The sequence below is a fragment of the Homo sapiens genome, chromosome 10, assembly GCF_000001405.40.
Source record: "Homo sapiens chromosome 10, GRCh38.p14 Primary Assembly".
Taxonomy (NCBI): domain Eukaryota; kingdom Metazoa; phylum Chordata; class Mammalia; order Primates; family Hominidae; genus Homo; species Homo sapiens.
The window spans coordinates 68894733-68911793 of record NC_000010.11 but is presented as its reverse complement, the minus strand read 5'-3'; the positions used below and the strand labels follow the sequence as shown (position 1 = coordinate 68911793).

Below are 17061 nucleotides of genomic sequence, written 5' to 3'. Positions count from 1 at the left end.
TCTATAATACTCTTCTTAAAAAGTCCATCTGTGTGTGCTCACTTCAGCAGCACATACGCTAAAATTGGAATGACACAGGGAAGATTAGCATGACCCCTGCACAAGGATGACATGAAAATTCATGACGTATTCCATACTAAAGGGAAAAAAAGGTAACACTGAAATAAATGATGCTGAACATTTACTGAATGACAAATAAATGAACACCTCTTTAGAAAATTCATTTATTTAAAAGCAAAGGTCAGGACTGAAGAAAAGAGAAGAAAAGGGTCAACTAAATATAAAAACTGTAAATAAGATATACCGGCTTTATAATTCATGAAATTATCAAAGACATCTATGGATCCATACACATCACATTCATATGCAAAAACTACTTCACTTTAACTTTGCTTGAAATTTCTTTTTGTGAAAAACAACATATTTTTGTTTTATGCCACAGCGCTAACTTTTCTATTTTGGGGGTACTAGAACTTAGGACTCGTGTAACTTTCTTTCCCTTTCTGTTAGAGTAACATTTAAAGCTTTTACCCCCTATAACGATTACCTTTGGTGAGCGGCTTTTTTTAATTGTTTCTTGATTTCTTTGGAGTCTTTCAATTAAGGGGATGGCAAAAGAGAATGTCTTTCCTGTTCCTGTCCGTGCTTGAGCTATTAAATCTTTTCCTTCATATACAGGACCAAAGGTCTTAACTTGAATAGGAAAGAGATATGTTACCCCTCGACCTGTAAAATGAGATTTAATTAAAATACTTCTTTACGACTAGCATTAGGAAAAAATATATTCATTTGAAAATGACAATCATAATTCTTCTATGTCTGCCTAAAGACATGCCACCTGGTGACACAGTTATTCCTACCACAAACAAGCATTACTAAAAAATTAGTCTAAACTTTTGACGAATGCATATAAATCTTAAAGCTAAAAACAAGGCAGAATATTGAAAAGGATGATGTAAAAGTAAGTGCAATTAAAGAAGAGCTACTTCTCTATGCTTTTTATGTTCTCCTTTTGGTCAGAAAAGGCACAGGAGTTTTACAAAATCTAGTGATAGATTTTTAATTGCATATCCATTAAAACTGCAAACCTTTGGGCCAGCCGTGGTGGCTCACGCCTGTAATCCCAGCACTTTGGTAACCCAACTGGAACAGATCAGGAGGTCAGGAGTTTGAGACCAGCCTGACCAACACAGTGAAACTGCGTCTCTACTAAAAATATGAAACTTAGCCGGGCATGGTGGCACACGCCTATAATCCCAACTACTCAGCAGGCTGAGGTAGGAGAATCGCTTGAACCCAGGAGGCGGAGGTTGCAGTGAGCCAAGACTGCCCCACTGCACTCCAGCCTGGGCAACAGAGCGAGGCTCTGTCTCAAAACAACAACAATAACAACAACAACCAAACTGCATACCTTTCAGAAGCTTTATAGTCTCTTCAGAAATAGGAAAATTGGAGAAGGCTCCTTCTTTCTGTTCACGTGTTAAGGTCTGTAAAAATGAAATCAATGGCCTAAATAATTTATACTCAACTCTTCCTCATTTACTGTTTTTAATTTTTTACAGATTAACTTACAAGGAAAATTAGTGGAACACTTTTTTTTTTTTTTTGAAACAGGGTCCCACTCTGTTGCCCAGGTTGGAGTGCAGTGGCACCATCACAGCTCACTGTGGCCTCAACCTCCGGGCTCAAATCCTACCAACCTCAGCCTCCCAAGCAGCTAGGACCACAGGCGCATGCCACCATGCTCACTTAGTTTTTTATTTTTTGTAGAGACAGGGTCTCACCATGTTATCCAGGCAGATCTTAAACTCCTGGCCTCAAGAGATCCTCCTGGCCAGGTGCGGTGGCTCATGCCCGTAATCCCAGCACTTTGGGAGGCCAAGGCAGGTGGATCATGTGAGGTCAGGAGTTCAAGACCAGCCTGACCAACATGGAGAAACCCTGTCTCTACTAACAATACAAAATTAGCCAGGCATGGTGGCGCATGCCTGTAATCCCAGCTACTCGGGAGGCTGAGGCAGGATAATTGCTTGAACCCAGGAGGCAGAGGTTGTAGTGAGCCGAGATTGCACCATGGCACTCCAGCCGGGGCAACAAGAGCGAAACTCTGTCTCAAAAGAAGAACAAGAAAAAAAAAAAGATCCTCCTACCTTGGCCTCCAAACTGCTGGGATTACAAGCATAAGCCATTATGCCCAGCCAAAAAGGTTATTTATTCATCTAAATCATACAGATGTAGACAAAATTATAAAGATTAACACAAGCCTATAAACTAAGCTAAAAGAAAGTATATAATGAGGAATGTAAAGTTTTTCTGAAAATAAGTTAAAAATTTATTCTACAGCGTTTGAAAGCTTATTTAGGTTGCTAATACAAGAGAAAGTTACCGTAAGCTTGAAGATTTCTTTAACATATATACAAGTTACCATGAGATTATCATTTAACATTTATTGAAAACTTTGTATACTAATGTGCACATAGAACAAAAACAGTGTGTCTACCCAGTAAGCTTTATTGTTCATGTGTTTAAAGAAACACACACTAACAATTTTCAAACTTGGAATTAGATAAAAAATAATTTCAAATTCAAATGGCATGCCATTTAAACAAACTTCAATGCTGCTGTTACCTTTTTATGATAAAAAAAATTATAAAAATAATACACTGTCGGCCAGGCGTGGTGGCTCATGCCTGTAATTCCAGCATTTTGGGAGGCCAAGGTGGTAGGATCACTTAAGCCCAGGAGTTCAAGACTAGCCTGAGCAATACAGTGAGACCTTGTCTCTATAAAAAACAAACAAACAAACAAAAATAAACAATACACTGTCATTGTAGAAACTTTTGAAACTGGCAGAGCCCAGTGGTTTATGTCTGTAATCCCAGCACTTTGGGAGGCCAAGGTGGGTGGATTACTTGAGCCCAGGAGTTCAAGACCAGTCTGGGCAACATAGTGAATGAAACACCATTTCTCCCAAAAATACACAAATTAGCCAGGCATGGTGCTACACGCCTATAGTCCCAGCTACTCAGGAGGCTGAGGTGGGAGGATCACCTGAGCCCAGGGAGGATGAGGCTGCAGTGAGCCATGATCACACCACTGCACTCCATCCTAGGTGACAGAGTGAGACCCCATCTCAAAAAAAAAAAAAAAAAAAAAGGAAATTTTAAAAACTACAGAGGAAACAGAAACAAATTTAAAAATTATTTATAATCCACTCAGCTAAAGCCATATTTGAAACATACTCCTCCAGTCTTCACTCTATGCACATAAAATTTTTTAAATAGAAATAAAATCACACTGTATATACCATTTTATAATCTTTTTTTTTTTTTTTTTTTTTTTGAGATGGAGTTTCGCTCTTGTTGACCAGGCTGGAGTGCAATGGTGCAATCTCGGCTCACTGCAACCTCCACTTCCCAGGTTCAAGCGATTCTCCTGCCTCAGCCTCCCAAGTAGCTGGGATTACAGGCATGCGCCACCACACCCAACTAATTTTTTTGTATTTAGTAGAGACAGGTTTCACCATGTCGGTCAGGCTGGTCTTGGAACTCCTGATCTCAGGTGATCCACCTGCCTCAGCCTCCCAAAGTGCTGGGATTACAGGCGTGAGCCACTGCGCCCAGCCTATTTTTTTCTTTTAACAAGATACAATGACTACCTTTTCTATTGTACACCCTTTGGGATAGCTGTATTCTATTATACAGCTATAGTATGTTTTATTTAAACCAAATGTCTACTATCAGACATTTAGGATGTTTAAATATTTTCCTATTATCAACAATATTACTATGATAAGAGTACTTATTCATACAGCTCTGCACACCTCTTCATCATCTCCTTAGGATAAATTCCTTTAAGTAGAATTCCTGAACTCTCATGTGATCTAAACAAAATAATAAACTGTTAAACCTATTATAATACAGATTTTACCAGGCAAAATCCCACCAAAGTGAGAAGCAAGCCATACATTCCACTGCTAGAAATACAGATTTAAAGGACCTTATTTAGATCAACAAACACATGTGCTTCCTGCCAAACAGCAAATTCACAAATTAAAAAAAAAAAGGCCATAACACAAGGATTCAACACTTTTCCCCAAAGATTATGCATTAAGCTCAAATGTATATGAATATCAGCAATTATCGTATTTATATAATATAAAGAATTACTAATTATCAGCCCAGTGTGGTGGCTCATGCCTGTAATCCCAGCAATTTGGGAAGCCGAGACAGGTGGATCACTTTGAGGTCAGGAGTTCAAGACCAGCCTGATCAACATGGAGAAACACCGTCTCTACTAAAAATACAAAAATTTGCCAGGCATGGTGGTGCGTGCCCGTAATCCCAGCTACTTGAGAGGCTGACTCAGGAGAATCGCTTCAACCCGGGAGGCAGAGGTTGCCATGAGCTGAGATTGTGCCATTCCAGTCCAGCCTGAGAAACAGAGAGAGACTCTGACTCAAAAAAAAAAAAAAAAGAAAAAAGAAAAGAAATTCAAGTAGATAACCATCAAGCAATTCCGAATAACTTTAGGAACCCAAATGTACAGAAAAGGTTTAAATTTAACTATTGCTCCCACCTCGCCCCAAGAAAAAGGCCATACAGTGAAATAAACAAGGGCCAAAGGAAAAAAGGCTCAGGCTTCACCTGTACAGACTCTAGTGCAACTAAGAATACTAGACACTAATCAAGAAATGTTATAGAATCAATTCTAATTAGCCTAAAAAAATTCAAATCAACCTATAGTTCAACAACAATGTCAAATGCAAAATAAAAAGCTTCCATACCTCCTCTAGTTTATTATCACTTGATTTATGAGTAGAAGTATCTAAAGATGATACTCGCTTTGATTTTTTTTCATATTCATCTATATCTCCATTTGGTAGATCTTTTCTTCTTGACTTATGAGATTTGGAGAATTCATCTGAAAGTCTATTAAATCCTTCTTCAGTGTCTCCATTTAGCTTCTCTTTCATTTTAGATTTTTTGGCCTTGGGAGCATCCAGGTCATCTGTAACACCATTTTCTCTTGTTTCTGATTTCTCATCCGAGTCATAATGGTGCCTTGACTTCCTTCTGTCACTCTGTGAACAAACAAAGAAGCAATGACAAGATGGTCAGAGGTTTTCTTTTAAGACTCTAGAGAAGTTAGAGCATGACTCCCCCACCAGTTCAGCTCAATCTACAGTTACTTTGAAAACCTGCCTGGTAGAAATCCAGACTGCTTACTAATGCCAAGCTCTAAGCCTCAACTGTTGCTATCTTTCTCATCCCCTTCCTAGCATTCTCAAGACTCAGCCTCTAGCCCCTCTCTAATCCCATCATAAGATTTAAGGAAAATTAAAACGGTTTCTCCTCAGGGAAAGAAAGACAACCCCAGAATTATAAATTACTAAACAAGCAAAAACTTCCAACATTTCCAAGAGAAAAAAAAATTAATACTTATTGAATACCTACCCAGCACTGTGTAATGTGTTTTCAGCTTATCTTGTTTAAATCTTCATAACAACCCTATAAGGGAAGTACAGGTCCATAATCCCTTATCCGAAATTGCGATATCCATAAAGCTCTGAAAACCGAAAGTTTTTTTTGTAACTTATTTGGAGGCAAAACCTTACCTGAACTCATTTGATGGCAAAATTTAACTTGAACTAACGTGAGGCTCTTTATAGTCTTCATTTATCCTGCTTAGTATGACCACTCATATTTAATATTAAGGTGTTTGATTACAGGTTTCAGGCCCCAAACCCTACCGGGGTGCTACCTTTCTAAAAATCCCCAGAATTCTGAATTCCAAAATACAACTAGTTCCAAGGATTTTGGATAAGGGATAGTGAACCTGTATTACCTTTGCCATTTTATTTAATTATTTATTTATTTTTGAGATAGAGTTTTGCTCTGTCACCCAGGCTGGAGTGCAGTGGCGCAATCTTGGCTCACTACAGCCTCCGCCTCCCGGGTTCAAGTGATTCTCCTGCCTCAGTCTTCCAAGTAGCTGGGACTACAGGCATACGCCACCATGCCCAGCTAAATTTTTGTATTTTTAGTAGAAACGAGGTTTCACCCTGTTGGCCAGACTGGTCTCAAACTCCTGACCTCAGGTGATCCACCAGCCTCGGCCTCCCAAAGTGGTGGGATTACAGGCGTGAGCCACTGTGCCCAGCCACCTTTGCCATTTTATAGACAAGGAAACAGAAGTTGTAAGAGGTTAAGCAACTTGCCAAAGATCCACATGTGGGATTTCCTGCAGCTATAAGTACTAGAAACTGAATCTAGCACTGCCTGACTTGAAAGCCCATTCTCTTTTCACATTATGCTTCCTCCCTGCACTTTGACAATTCACAGGCTAAAGGAAAACAAAAAGAAACTATATAATTCATATAGAAGTCCAATTGTTATACTTCCACGGAAGGACAGTAATCCTGGATTTTTTTTTTTTTTTTACGTTTTAAATTCAGTTAATTTTTTTAAAAAACACTATTTTTCAACTTCAATTTTAAAATCTCAAACTAGTGGCCAGTGTTGTGATATTTACAGAACACAATAAATGATTTGGGAATTTAGGACTTTAGCCTGGTGGCTAGCCGTGGTGGTTCACGCCTATAATCCCAGCACTCTGGGGGGGCGAGGTTGGGCGGATCACCTGAGGTCAGGAGTTCAAGACCAGCCTGGCCAACATGGGGAAACCCCGTCTCTACAAAAATACAAAAGTTAGCTGCATGTTGTGGTACACGCCTGTAATCTCGGCCACTCTCAAAAAAATGAATTACCTGGTCAAATATTCAAAATAGATAGCAGTAATTAGTGATAGTAAAAACTACTACCACCAAAATGTTCACCATAACTTACACAACTTTTAGAGTTATTTCACATATAATTTTCTCATCCATAAAATTGGAATTGCTGTGAGAATTGAACAATATGTGTGAAAATGCTTTGCAGTTACACATTACATCATATGATCTGCAGTTAACTACACTAGACCACATCTTTCCAAACCAATAGGTTCTACAGAAAAATAAGATTATTTATCGATTCAGCCTTGGGGCTTGAATTGCTTCTGGGCCCTGCACTACAGAGAGAAGTTGAAGCAAGGCAAAAGGAGACCTCTCGGTCTAAGCCCAGTAACATCTCAAGGTGATTAAATAAATAATTCCACTTTAGACCCACAATGCTTGGCACTCTCCGTCTACTTGGTTTCAGTTACACTTTATATTCCCTTCTTACCTCTATCTTCTTACCTCTACCACATATCTTCTTCAATGGTTCCTCTCCTTCCTCCTCCAGTGGATGCTCCTTGAGTATCTGTTCTCTATGTTCACTTTTAGTACTATTTTCATGGCTCAATACGTACTTCCAGACTCCCTTCCTCACCTACATTCCAACTCTAAGAATCTAAGCACCAGCTCCATATCTCAACACGTCCGAACCAAAGTTATCCTCACCTCAATACCAGACCACTATTCACTTCAGTTTTGTTTTTTTGAGACAGGTCTTACTCTGTCTCCCAGGCTGGAGTGCAGCAGCTCAACCATGGTTCACTGTGGCCTCAACCTCCCTGGCTCAAGTGATCCTCCCACCTCAGTCTCCTGAGTAGCTAAGTCTACAGGCACGAGCTACAACGGCTGGCTAATTTTTTTTTTTTTTTTTGAGACGGAGTTTCGCTCTTGTTGCCCAGATTGGTGTGCAATGACGTGATCTTGGCTCACTGCAACCTCTGCCTCCTGGGTTCAAGCAATTCTCCTGCCTTAGCATCCCGAGTAGCTGGGATTACAGGCGTCTGCCACCACGCCCAGCTAATTTTTTTTTTTTTTTTTCTGAGACGGAGTCTTGCTCTGTCACCCAGGCTGGAGTGCAATGGTGCGATCTCGGCTCACTGCAACCTCTGCCTCCCAGGTTCAAGCAATTCCTGTATCTCAGCCTCCCGAGTAGCTGGAATTACAGGCACGCGCCACCACACCCAGCTAATTTTTGGGTTTTTTGGGTTTTTTTTTTAAATGGAGTCTCGCTGTGTCACCCAGGCTGCAGTGCAGTGGTGCGATTTCAGCTCACTGCAACCTCAGCCTCCCGGGTTCATACGATTCTCTTACCTCAGCCTCCTGAGTAGCTGGGATTACAGGCATGTGCCACCATGCCCAGCTAATTTTTGTATTTTTAGTAAAGACGGAGTTTCACCATGTTGGCCAGGCTGGTCTCGAACTCCTGACCTTAGGTGATCCACCTGCCTCAGCCTCCAAAAATGCCGGCATTACAGACGTGAGCCACCGCACCTGGCCTTTTTTGGTATTTTTAGTAGAGATGGTGTTTCACCATGTTGGCCGGGATGGTCTCGATCTCCTGACCTCACGATCCACCCGCCTCAGCCTCCCAAAGTGCTGGGATTACAGGAGTGAGTCACCATGCCCGGCCCAATTTTTATATTTTTAGCAGAGATGGGATTTAACCATGTTGGCCAGGCTGGTCTTGAACTCCTGACCTCAGGTGATCTGCCTGCCTCAGCCTCCCAAAGTGCTGGGATTACAGGCATGAGCCACCGCACCCGGCTAATTTTTTTATTTTTTGTAGAGACAGGGTCTCTACAAAACTCTACCTAAACTTCTGGGCTCAAGCAATCCTCCCATCTCAGCGTCCCAAAGTGCTAGGATTACAGGCATGAGCCACTGCAGCTAGCCACCAGACCTGTATTCTAATGCTCTATTTCTTTTAGTTGGTATTCCAATTCGTTTCCAAATCTCTGGTTATCTTTCATAGTTAAAGGGCAGTCAATATGTATTTCTGGAGAATTTACAATGTGAAAGCCACCAATTTAAAACAACATAGTGAAACATAAGGATGGATAAAGATTTGGTCACTTTCCTCAAGAACTTTTGGGAAATATGTGGGATACATACAGGAAAAATGAACTAATTTTATATAGACATGCATAACAAATGTCAATCAAATGATGAAGATAGCCACTGAAACTAGATAACGGTACATTCGGGTTGTCAGGAAAGACATAAACTAGGCCTTGACCGCTGGACAGGATTGGGATGCAAAAGACAAGAATTTCAAAAGAAGCCTTTTTTAAAATACCTGCTTGGTTTTCTGCTTACACTCTAGGTAACTTCAGTAGTCAAATTCACAGAGCGAAAGTAGAATGGTAGTTGCCGGGAGTGGAAGGAGAGAGGAATGAGAAGTGAGTGTTTAATGGGCACAGAGTTTCAGTCTGGGACAATGAAAAGTTCTGGAGATGGATGATGGTGACAGCTGCAAAACGATGTAAATATACTTAATGTCACAGAGCTATATACTTAAAAATGGTTAAAATGATAAACGTTATGTGTATTTTAGCACAATAAAAGTGTTAGCTGAAATGGCAAGTTTACCTTAGTGATAAGGTCAGAGAGGTAGATTCTGCTTTCTAAGGCTATACAAAATAAGTCTCATTCTTTTGTCGAATGTCAGCCTTCGAATACTGCCACCTTAGCCTCTTCAGCTGATTTCTTTTTTCCAGGTCAAATGTCTCCAGTAATAATTTTACCTGGGCATTTTTTCAGCACCTTGTGATCCTCTGAGTGTTTCAGGATGTTTTTTCTTTTCCTTTTTTTTTTTTTTTTTTTTTGGAGGGCAGGGGGCTGGGAGGAGGAAAGACTACAACTCCTCTACAGGCTCCTTGAGAGCAGAGACCATTTCTTTACTTATTTAGTTTAACCTCCTTGGTACTCAGCAAAGAGTATGGTACAAATTAGGTTCAATAAACACCTGCGGATTGAATGAAAATACTGACAGTAAAGGCTATTAATAATGCAACCCACACGATCTCCATCACTGACAAATCCTGGCAAGTCTCAGTGACACTTTTCCTTAAGCCTCTACAGACTAGTTATTGAGGTCTGTAAACCTAAGATCGCTTTCCCCAGGATTCTTGCACAGGGGACGGGGTGACAGAAGCAACACATATTCAAAGCAATCATTTTTTCTTAATCATCTTCTAAGAGGGCCAATGAAAACGAAATGGCAAGCGTCACTGCTTCAGGAGAGAAAGAACAGATTCCATGGTGATGGGAGCTTGAGTCTGCCCATCTGAGATTCAGGCGCCAACGGGAAGGGCTGAGGGGCCACGCGGAGGAGAGGCCCAAAGCCCAGGGCCATCTTTCTCCAGGTCGGGAGGGTGGAGGTGGAAACGGTCCCTGAGCGACCCCAGAGGGCCGAGGGCGGCGCGAAGGGAGGCCCTCGGATGCTCCGGCCCGGTTCTGACAGGCCATCATCAGGGACAGACAGTTCCCCTCCCCGCCCAAGCCGGCGCAGCCCAAAAGGAGGCGCGGCCCATGCTCAGCGCACCTTTTGCCTCTCCTTCTTCTGGCTCTCGGACTCCTCCAAGGGTGCTTCCAGCTCCATAATGTCCCCCCAGAGGAGTTTCCCAGGCATTACTGGCCACCGCCGCCTCCCTCCGGGCACAGTGGCCACAACCACCTACGGGCAGCGACAGCGTGAAAGGAAGCGGGGGCAAGGCGGCCGCCCGGCCTTGGCCATGCGTCACTTCCGGGACACGCACCGCACGGCGGGGAAAAATAATCCCGGATACTCTCGGTTTAAGACCTTCCATTGCGCCGCAACCTCTCAACCAATGAGTGTGAGAGATATCAACGGGCCCGCCCTTGTTCTGAAGTGATTGGTTACTAGAGTAAAACCCTGGCCAATCTCCATAAAGGAAGCATGCACTGATTAACATAAATAGTTCGGTTTATCTTCCCCTCCCCCACTCCGAACGGGTCTCCTCGGCCTCGCAGAGCCTTTTGGGGGCTTCCCAGTACGCACTGCTAGGGCTGGGAAGCCCTTCAACGGCGGTAGACAGGGTCCGGCGCGCGCTGGGCGGGTGCGTGGGCAGGCCCATGCCGAGGCCAGTGGGCAACGCCGCGCGCCGCCTCGCCATTTGCAGCCGGAAGCTGAAGCCCTCCATCCCGCCCATTGCGGGGGAGATGTTAACGACCAACAGCTTCGCGCGAGGCCACAGGCCTGGCGTCGGTGGAGAGGGGCTTCGCGCAGTTTGGGGTGGGCCAGATGGGCCGGAGGTGTAGCCAGGAACGGACAGATGTCCGTCTCTTAAGTCTTAGGTTTTAATCGTGAAGCTGATCCCTGGTTCATTGTGATCCTTCTCACGCTGTCCATTTGACATAAGAAACCCGAGAAAGGAATGTACTTGTCTGAAGTCCCACAGTCTGTTAGTGGCACAGTCAGGACTAGAGAATTTAGCTCCTGAAGCCGAGATCAATGCTCTTTCTGCCACATCAGCCTGAGAACTTTGAGTTTTGCAGTGTTTTGGGGAAGATGCTCCCGTGAAACAATGAACAGGAAAAACCTGAAGAAGCCTCACATTTTCTGCTAGCGAGAAAAGCCAAAATGTCTTCCACAGATTATCTATTTGCAATGAATAAAAAAGGATTTAATTTTAGTGATGGAGATTAACTGCCCGTGAATCACCACCTTACACAAAACTGAAACCTTTGACAATACAAAGGGTAACTTCCTTAGTGTTTCTATACCTTTGCTTACTATCACCGAGGCTAGTTGGCTTTTCACAGCCATTTCTTCATCTCTTCATGATCCTTGCGACCCAGCTACTCTACCCAATGGAGACACAGGGCTACTCTCACAAACCACTTGATAACGTCTAGCACACCAGCCTTAAAACCTAAGCATCAAACTGTGTCCTAGCAAAATTACAAATTGTTACATGTCGTGGAGTTTGGGAATTGGTCCTGAATAGCTGGAACCACAAATGTTAAATCTGTGATTGCTTCAAGCCTTCTGCATAACTACGGCTTGGCCTGAAGGCAAGGGCTGTATGTTTGCATGTAACTTTATGGATTCAATACTTAGAAACACAAGGAGTGTTCAGCTATTGATGACGGAGAAATCCACCTCTCTTCCTAGGTTATGAGAATAGCTATGCATCTCTAGATCTGCGGTTTTCCACATCCTTTTGTCCTAATCCCTCAGTCCACTCCCAATTCTACCATAGTAGGGTCTTTATAGCCCTACAACAGGGTATGATGATGTGCATAAAAACACAGTGTAGATATGGCTAAGAATGCCGCACGTAAAATTGGGATAAAAGGAACAGATGTTATTGTCTTGTGGTTGAAGGTTAATAACAGCTGAAGTAAAAGTTGAGCTCCTGAGCACTCTTTGGCATTCATTTGTATGTCAGAGGTCCTAAGAGCGGGCCTGAAAAAAAAGAAAGGAGTAGACTGTTCAAATCTCCCTATTCAAGTGATTAACAAGTATACGAGTGTTTTAGAATGACCTTCTGTGACTTGCAACACTACAGACTCTGCCTTTCTAAGCCCTAAATTCACTGAACCAAATCTCTGGCTGCTGTCTGTGTCAGATGGAAAGGGCAAGTATAAACCGATGTGTCAGTAATTTGACCAAGGAGTGGCTTAGCTGAAAAAAATATGTACCACATTACACATGTGTTCTCCGGGGATATCATTTTTGCCTCAATCAACTAGAAAACGTGGGAACGGGATGCAGGAGTGGAGAACTTTGTTTTCTTCATATTTGCTCTGTCTGTAAATCTCAAGAGATTGTGTCTGATGAGATTTGGGGTTAGGGGGAGGCATACTGTGCATGAATAATTAAAATGCACAATAATTCAAGATACAATCTTATTAGAACATCTTTATTTTCCAAACATCTTACCAGAGTCACTGATGTACTTTCTTTTACAACACTTAAGAGTTGGGTGCTTCAGTTGCTACTCCTGTTACAAGGTCCTATAAAGATTTCCCTTGCCCTTTGCCTCAGCTTGTTTAAACTGACCATTAAGATATAAAAAGAAAAGGGCCGGGAGCGGTGGCTCACGCCAGCACTTTGGGAAGCCAGGGTGGGCGGATCACCTGAGGTCAGGAGTTCAAGACTAGCCTGACCAACATGGAGGAAACCCATCTCTACTAAAAATAGAAAATTCGCGGGGCGTGGTGGCACATGCCTGTGATCCCAGCTACTCAGGAGGCTGAGGCAGGAGAATCGCTTGAACCCGGGAGGAGGAGATTGCGGTGAGCCGAGATCAAGCCATTGCACTCCAGCCTGTGCAACAAGAGTGAAAGTCCATCTCAAAAGAAAAAAAAAAGATATAAAAAGAAGATGACTATTTCCAAACTTGCCTCTCTCTAATCTTTTTAGAACTACAGGACTAGGTTAGTTTTACTCTGTAGTTAGAGAGTTGAAGGTAAAAGTCATCAAATAACCTGTTTGCGTCTGCACGTCAATCTTATGTGACAAGAGGAATTGAACGTTTTATCCCCAGCAGCTTCGTCATGAACCATCATTTTTAAATGCTGTGACATGGAAATAGTTTAAGTGGCAGTTAAAAACTGATTTAAGACATATTGGGGGCACAAAATAAGTGTTGAGTATGGAAAAGCAGAAAGAGCGTAAAGGCAAAGAGAATGGGAGGGAAGGAGGAGGGTATTTTTCCCATTGCCATGGAACCTAAACCAAGTCAGTTCTAAAATCTTGCTAGAAAAGTGAGAAGAGTAATGCTGATAGCACAGGAAATTGGATCCGCTGATATAACAGCACTATGGAAATGAGGTACAGAGGTGCTTACATTAGCTTGAGGTTTTGACAGCATTGGAAAAGAGACATCTTTGGCCGGCGCGGTGGCTCATGCGTGTAATCCCAGCACTTCGGGAGGCCGAGGCGGGTGGATCACGAGGTCAGCAGATGGAGACCATCCTGGCTAACATGGTGAAACCCCGTCTCTACTAAAAAGTACAAAAAATTAGCCGGGCGTGGTGGCGGGCGCCTGTAGTCCCAGCTACTCAGGAGGCTGAGGCAGGAGAATGGCGTGAACCCGGTAGGCAGAGCTTGCAGTGAGCCGAGATCACGCCACTGCACTCCAGCCTGGGTGACAGAGTGAGACTCTGTCTCAAAAAAAAAAAAAAAAAAAAAAAAAAGGAAAAGAGACATCTTTGAATACATTTATCATATGTATATTTATGCATGTATCTAGCTCCTAAATTCAAACTTTTAAATGATTTTGTAAGTGCTTAACCTTTAGTCTCATTGTTTCTTTAGTCAATTACTTTCTGGATGTTTTGAACCAAGTAGTAGGAGACAGGGTTTCAGAGTCACATTGTCACATCAGTCACCCCAGAAGAGGGCACCATTATCCAAGTAATGTTTGGAAGCGGCTTCTGCTTCTTCCAGACATCTACTCCTTTCTTTTTTCAGGCCCGCTCTTAGGACCTCTGACATTTTTTCCAAAGGGGAAAAAATGTTACTAAGGTTTCAAAGGGAAGAAAGTCCTGTAAGACACCAGCAAAGTAATGATGAATTTGTCTTTGATGCCCCCATTCTTGTTTCATGACATTCATGTCGCTCTTCCCCACCCTTGTTAAGCAATAGCCTGTTTTCCCAACACCCAAAAAGCCTTAGTAGCTGTAGATAGGTTCTCAAAATGCCATGGTTCCCAATCTTTTCCCTTCAGGCTCTTTCCATTGCTCTTCCTCATAGACTTGACATTTTGGTTTGGGGTGTGTGTGTGTGTATGTGCGCGCCACTACATAAAAAAAGATCTGGGGCCGGGCGCGGTGGCTCACGCCTATAATTCCAGCACTTTGGGAGACTGAGGCGGGCAGATCACCTGAGGTCAGGGGTTCGAGACCAGCCTGGCCAACATGGCAAAACTTTGTCTCTACTAAAAGTACAAAAATTAGCCAGGCGTAGTGGCAGGCACCTGTAATCCCAGCTATTCAGGAGGCTGAGGCAGAAGAATCGCTTGAATCCGGGAGGCTGAGGTTGCAGTGAGCCAAGATTGCGCCACTGCACTCCAGCCGGCGTGACAACAGCGAGACTCCGTCTTAAAAAAAAAAAAAAAAAAAAAGGAAACAAGAAAAAAGATTTGTGCCAAGCATGGTGGCTCACACCTGTATTCCCAGCACTTTGGGAGGCCGAGGCAGGCAGATCACCTGAGGACAGGGGCAGGAGTTCTAGACCAGCCTGGCCAACATGGTGAAACCCGTCTCTACTAAAAATACAAAATAGGCCCGGTGTGGTGGCTTATGCCTGTAATCCCAACACCTTGGGGGGCCGAGGTGGCGGATCATGAGGTCAAGAGATCGGGACCATCCTGGCCAACATGGTGAAACCCTGTCTCTACTAAAAATACAAAAATTAGCTGGGCATGGTGGCATGTGCCTGTAGTCCCAGCTACTCAGGAGGCTGAGGCAGGAGAATTGCTTGAACCAGAGGTTGCAGTGAGCTGAGATCATGCCATTGCACTCCAGCCTGGGCAACACAGTGAGACTGTCTCAAAAAAAAAAAAAAAAAAGATTTGAAATTTTGTAACATTTTGTCTGATAAATTGTATTTAGGGATGATTGATCCATGGTCATTATTCTAATCTATGAATAAGACACAAATGCAGTTTAACTGCCACACCAGCATGGGATAGTGTTGCATTACTGAGCTGGTGTAATTTCAACTATTTGCAAAGAAAGGATCTTTTAGCTAGCAAGGAATTAGAGTAAGGCAAAGGAATTGAGTACAATTTCTATTAGGATTTTTGAAATAATGAAAATGGTTTGCAAAAAACCTAGCTATGCCAGGGATCCCTAGGAGTCTGAAATCTCAGATGAGAGAGGATGTATGTTGTATGAATGTCTACAATAAGCCCATATTTTGCATATTTTATTCCTACTTATAAAATAAGCTATCAACTGAAAACTTGTTAGTGAAAGGCATAATACCTCCCCATGGCATACCTGGATTTTGATGGCAGATACATCCTATAACCTTCCCAAAGGACTAAATCTGTAATGGAGTAATTCCAGACAACCTGACAAAAACAGGGGACCGGTATAGTGGGCCATGTATTTATTTACCTATCAAGCAAGTTTTGTTACTATAAAATATATTAAAATACATACATACATATATATGTATAATAATATTAGGTACCTCCTGCATTGGGCACTTTTCTTTTCAAGACCCAAAGCCATTCCACAGCCGCGCCCACAGTGGGGTTGCTCAGGCCTACATTGGGCACTTTTGATAGATCATCCCCAAGCCTCACAACAATCCCGTAAGGGAGACATCATTACTATCTCCCTTTGACAGATGAGAAAACCAATTCAGAGGAATTTGGTGACTTGCTCCATCACACAGCTACGAAGGATTTGGAATTGGAATTCAAACTTGTGCCTGACTCCTAACCTCAGATCATTAAGCTGCCTCAAAAAAACAGATTTCTCATTAGAGAATAGACTGCATTAGGAAAGATAAATCAAGAACTAAAGTTGCCACAAAAAGCAGTTATTTCTAGGGAGAAAAATGCAGGTCACCTATTTTAGAGTAGAATCTCCCAAACAATTTAATCGCACATATTCCCATCTTTAATGTCTGTGTTATATGATGAGTTTCATAGGAGAAAATTTTACTGGTTTCATAATGAGCTTGATTCATTTAATACATTCCTTTAAAACAGGGAGAGTGTCATAATGCATCCAGTGGCAAAATTAGATGGACTTCATTAGTTGCGCAACATGGCAAAACCCCATCTCCTAAAAAAACAGAACAAATGAAAAACCTTACAGTTGGAAGGATTCTTCAAAATCATGTAGTTCAGCCAGCCAGTTAAACTAAATTCTGGAAATTGCCCTCCAACATATCAGTAAAGGGATCACCAAGCTTCTGCTTGAATGCCCTAAACAATGGGAAATTCATTCTTTTCCAAAGCTACCTACTTCATCTTCAGATAGCTTTGTCTAATATAAAATTCTGCCAGGCACAGTGGCTCACATCTGTAATTCCAGCACTTTGGGAGGCCCAGGTGGGAGGATTGCTTGAGGACAGAAGTTCAAGATCAGCCTGGCCAACATAGTGAGATCCTGTCTCTACAAAAAATAAAATTAAGACAAGCCTGGTGGCTTACGCCTGTAGTCCCAGCTACTCGGGGGGCTAAAGTGGGAGGATCACTTCAGTCCAACAGGTCGAGGCTGCAGTGTGCTGTGATCATGCCACTGTACTCCAGCCTGAGTGACAGAGACCCCGTCTCAAAAAAATTTTTTTT

At 42.6% G+C, this 17061-nt stretch overlaps 2 protein-coding genes and 1 pseudogene across 6 annotated transcripts in view, besides 3 other annotated features; 1 reads left to right on the top strand and 2 right to left on the bottom strand.

Moving 5' to 3' along the window:
* DDX50 (DExD-box helicase 50) overlaps positions 1-10479 on the bottom strand; it is a 45533-nt gene extending 35054 nt beyond the window's left edge. Inside the window, exons 1-5 of one of the 5 annotated variants that reach the window (XM_011540144.3) lie at positions 10323-10479; positions 5457-5510; positions 4787-5083; positions 1412-1487; positions 548-726 (exon numbers count right to left, since the gene is read on the bottom strand). In XM_011540144.3, coding sequence (XP_011538446.1) covers positions 548-726; positions 1412-1487; positions 4787-4975 — 444 coding nt within the window. In that variant the 5' untranslated portion in view covers positions 4976-5083; positions 5457-5510; positions 10323-10479. Of the gene's footprint in view, positions 1-547; positions 727-1411; positions 1488-3823; positions 3884-4786; positions 5084-5456; positions 5525-9367; positions 9739-10322 lie in introns of those variants that run through there. The other 4 variants (NM_024045.2, XM_047425726.1, XM_047425727.1 and 1 more) reach the window with 4 other exon arrangements.
* Positions 35-141, top strand: RNU6-571P (RNA, U6 small nuclear 571, pseudogene; annotated as a pseudogene).
* Positions 10317-10406: an enhancer, noted in NCBI's record as "active region_3471". NCBI's record gives its function as "activates an Ori minimal core promoter by ATAC-STARR-seq in GM12878 lymphoblastoid cells {active_cell/tissue: GM12878}" and the evidence as "EXISTENCE:reporter gene assay evidence [ECO:0000049][PMID:35858748]".
* Positions 10707-10936: an enhancer, noted in NCBI's record as "active region_3470". NCBI's record gives its function as "activates an Ori minimal core promoter by ATAC-STARR-seq in GM12878 lymphoblastoid cells {active_cell/tissue: GM12878}" and the evidence as "EXISTENCE:reporter gene assay evidence [ECO:0000049][PMID:35858748]".
* Positions 11157-11226: an enhancer, noted in NCBI's record as "active region_3469". NCBI's record gives its function as "activates an Ori minimal core promoter by ATAC-STARR-seq in GM12878 lymphoblastoid cells {active_cell/tissue: GM12878}" and the evidence as "EXISTENCE:reporter gene assay evidence [ECO:0000049][PMID:35858748]".
* The window catches only part of STOX1 (storkhead box 1), a 67902-nt gene continuing 67202 nt past the window's right edge, over positions 16362-17061 (bottom strand). The window contains exon 5 of the mRNA NM_001130161.4: positions 16362-16552. The gene's annotated coding sequence lies outside the window, so the exon portion shown is untranslated. The remainder of the gene's footprint in view (positions 16553-17061) is intronic.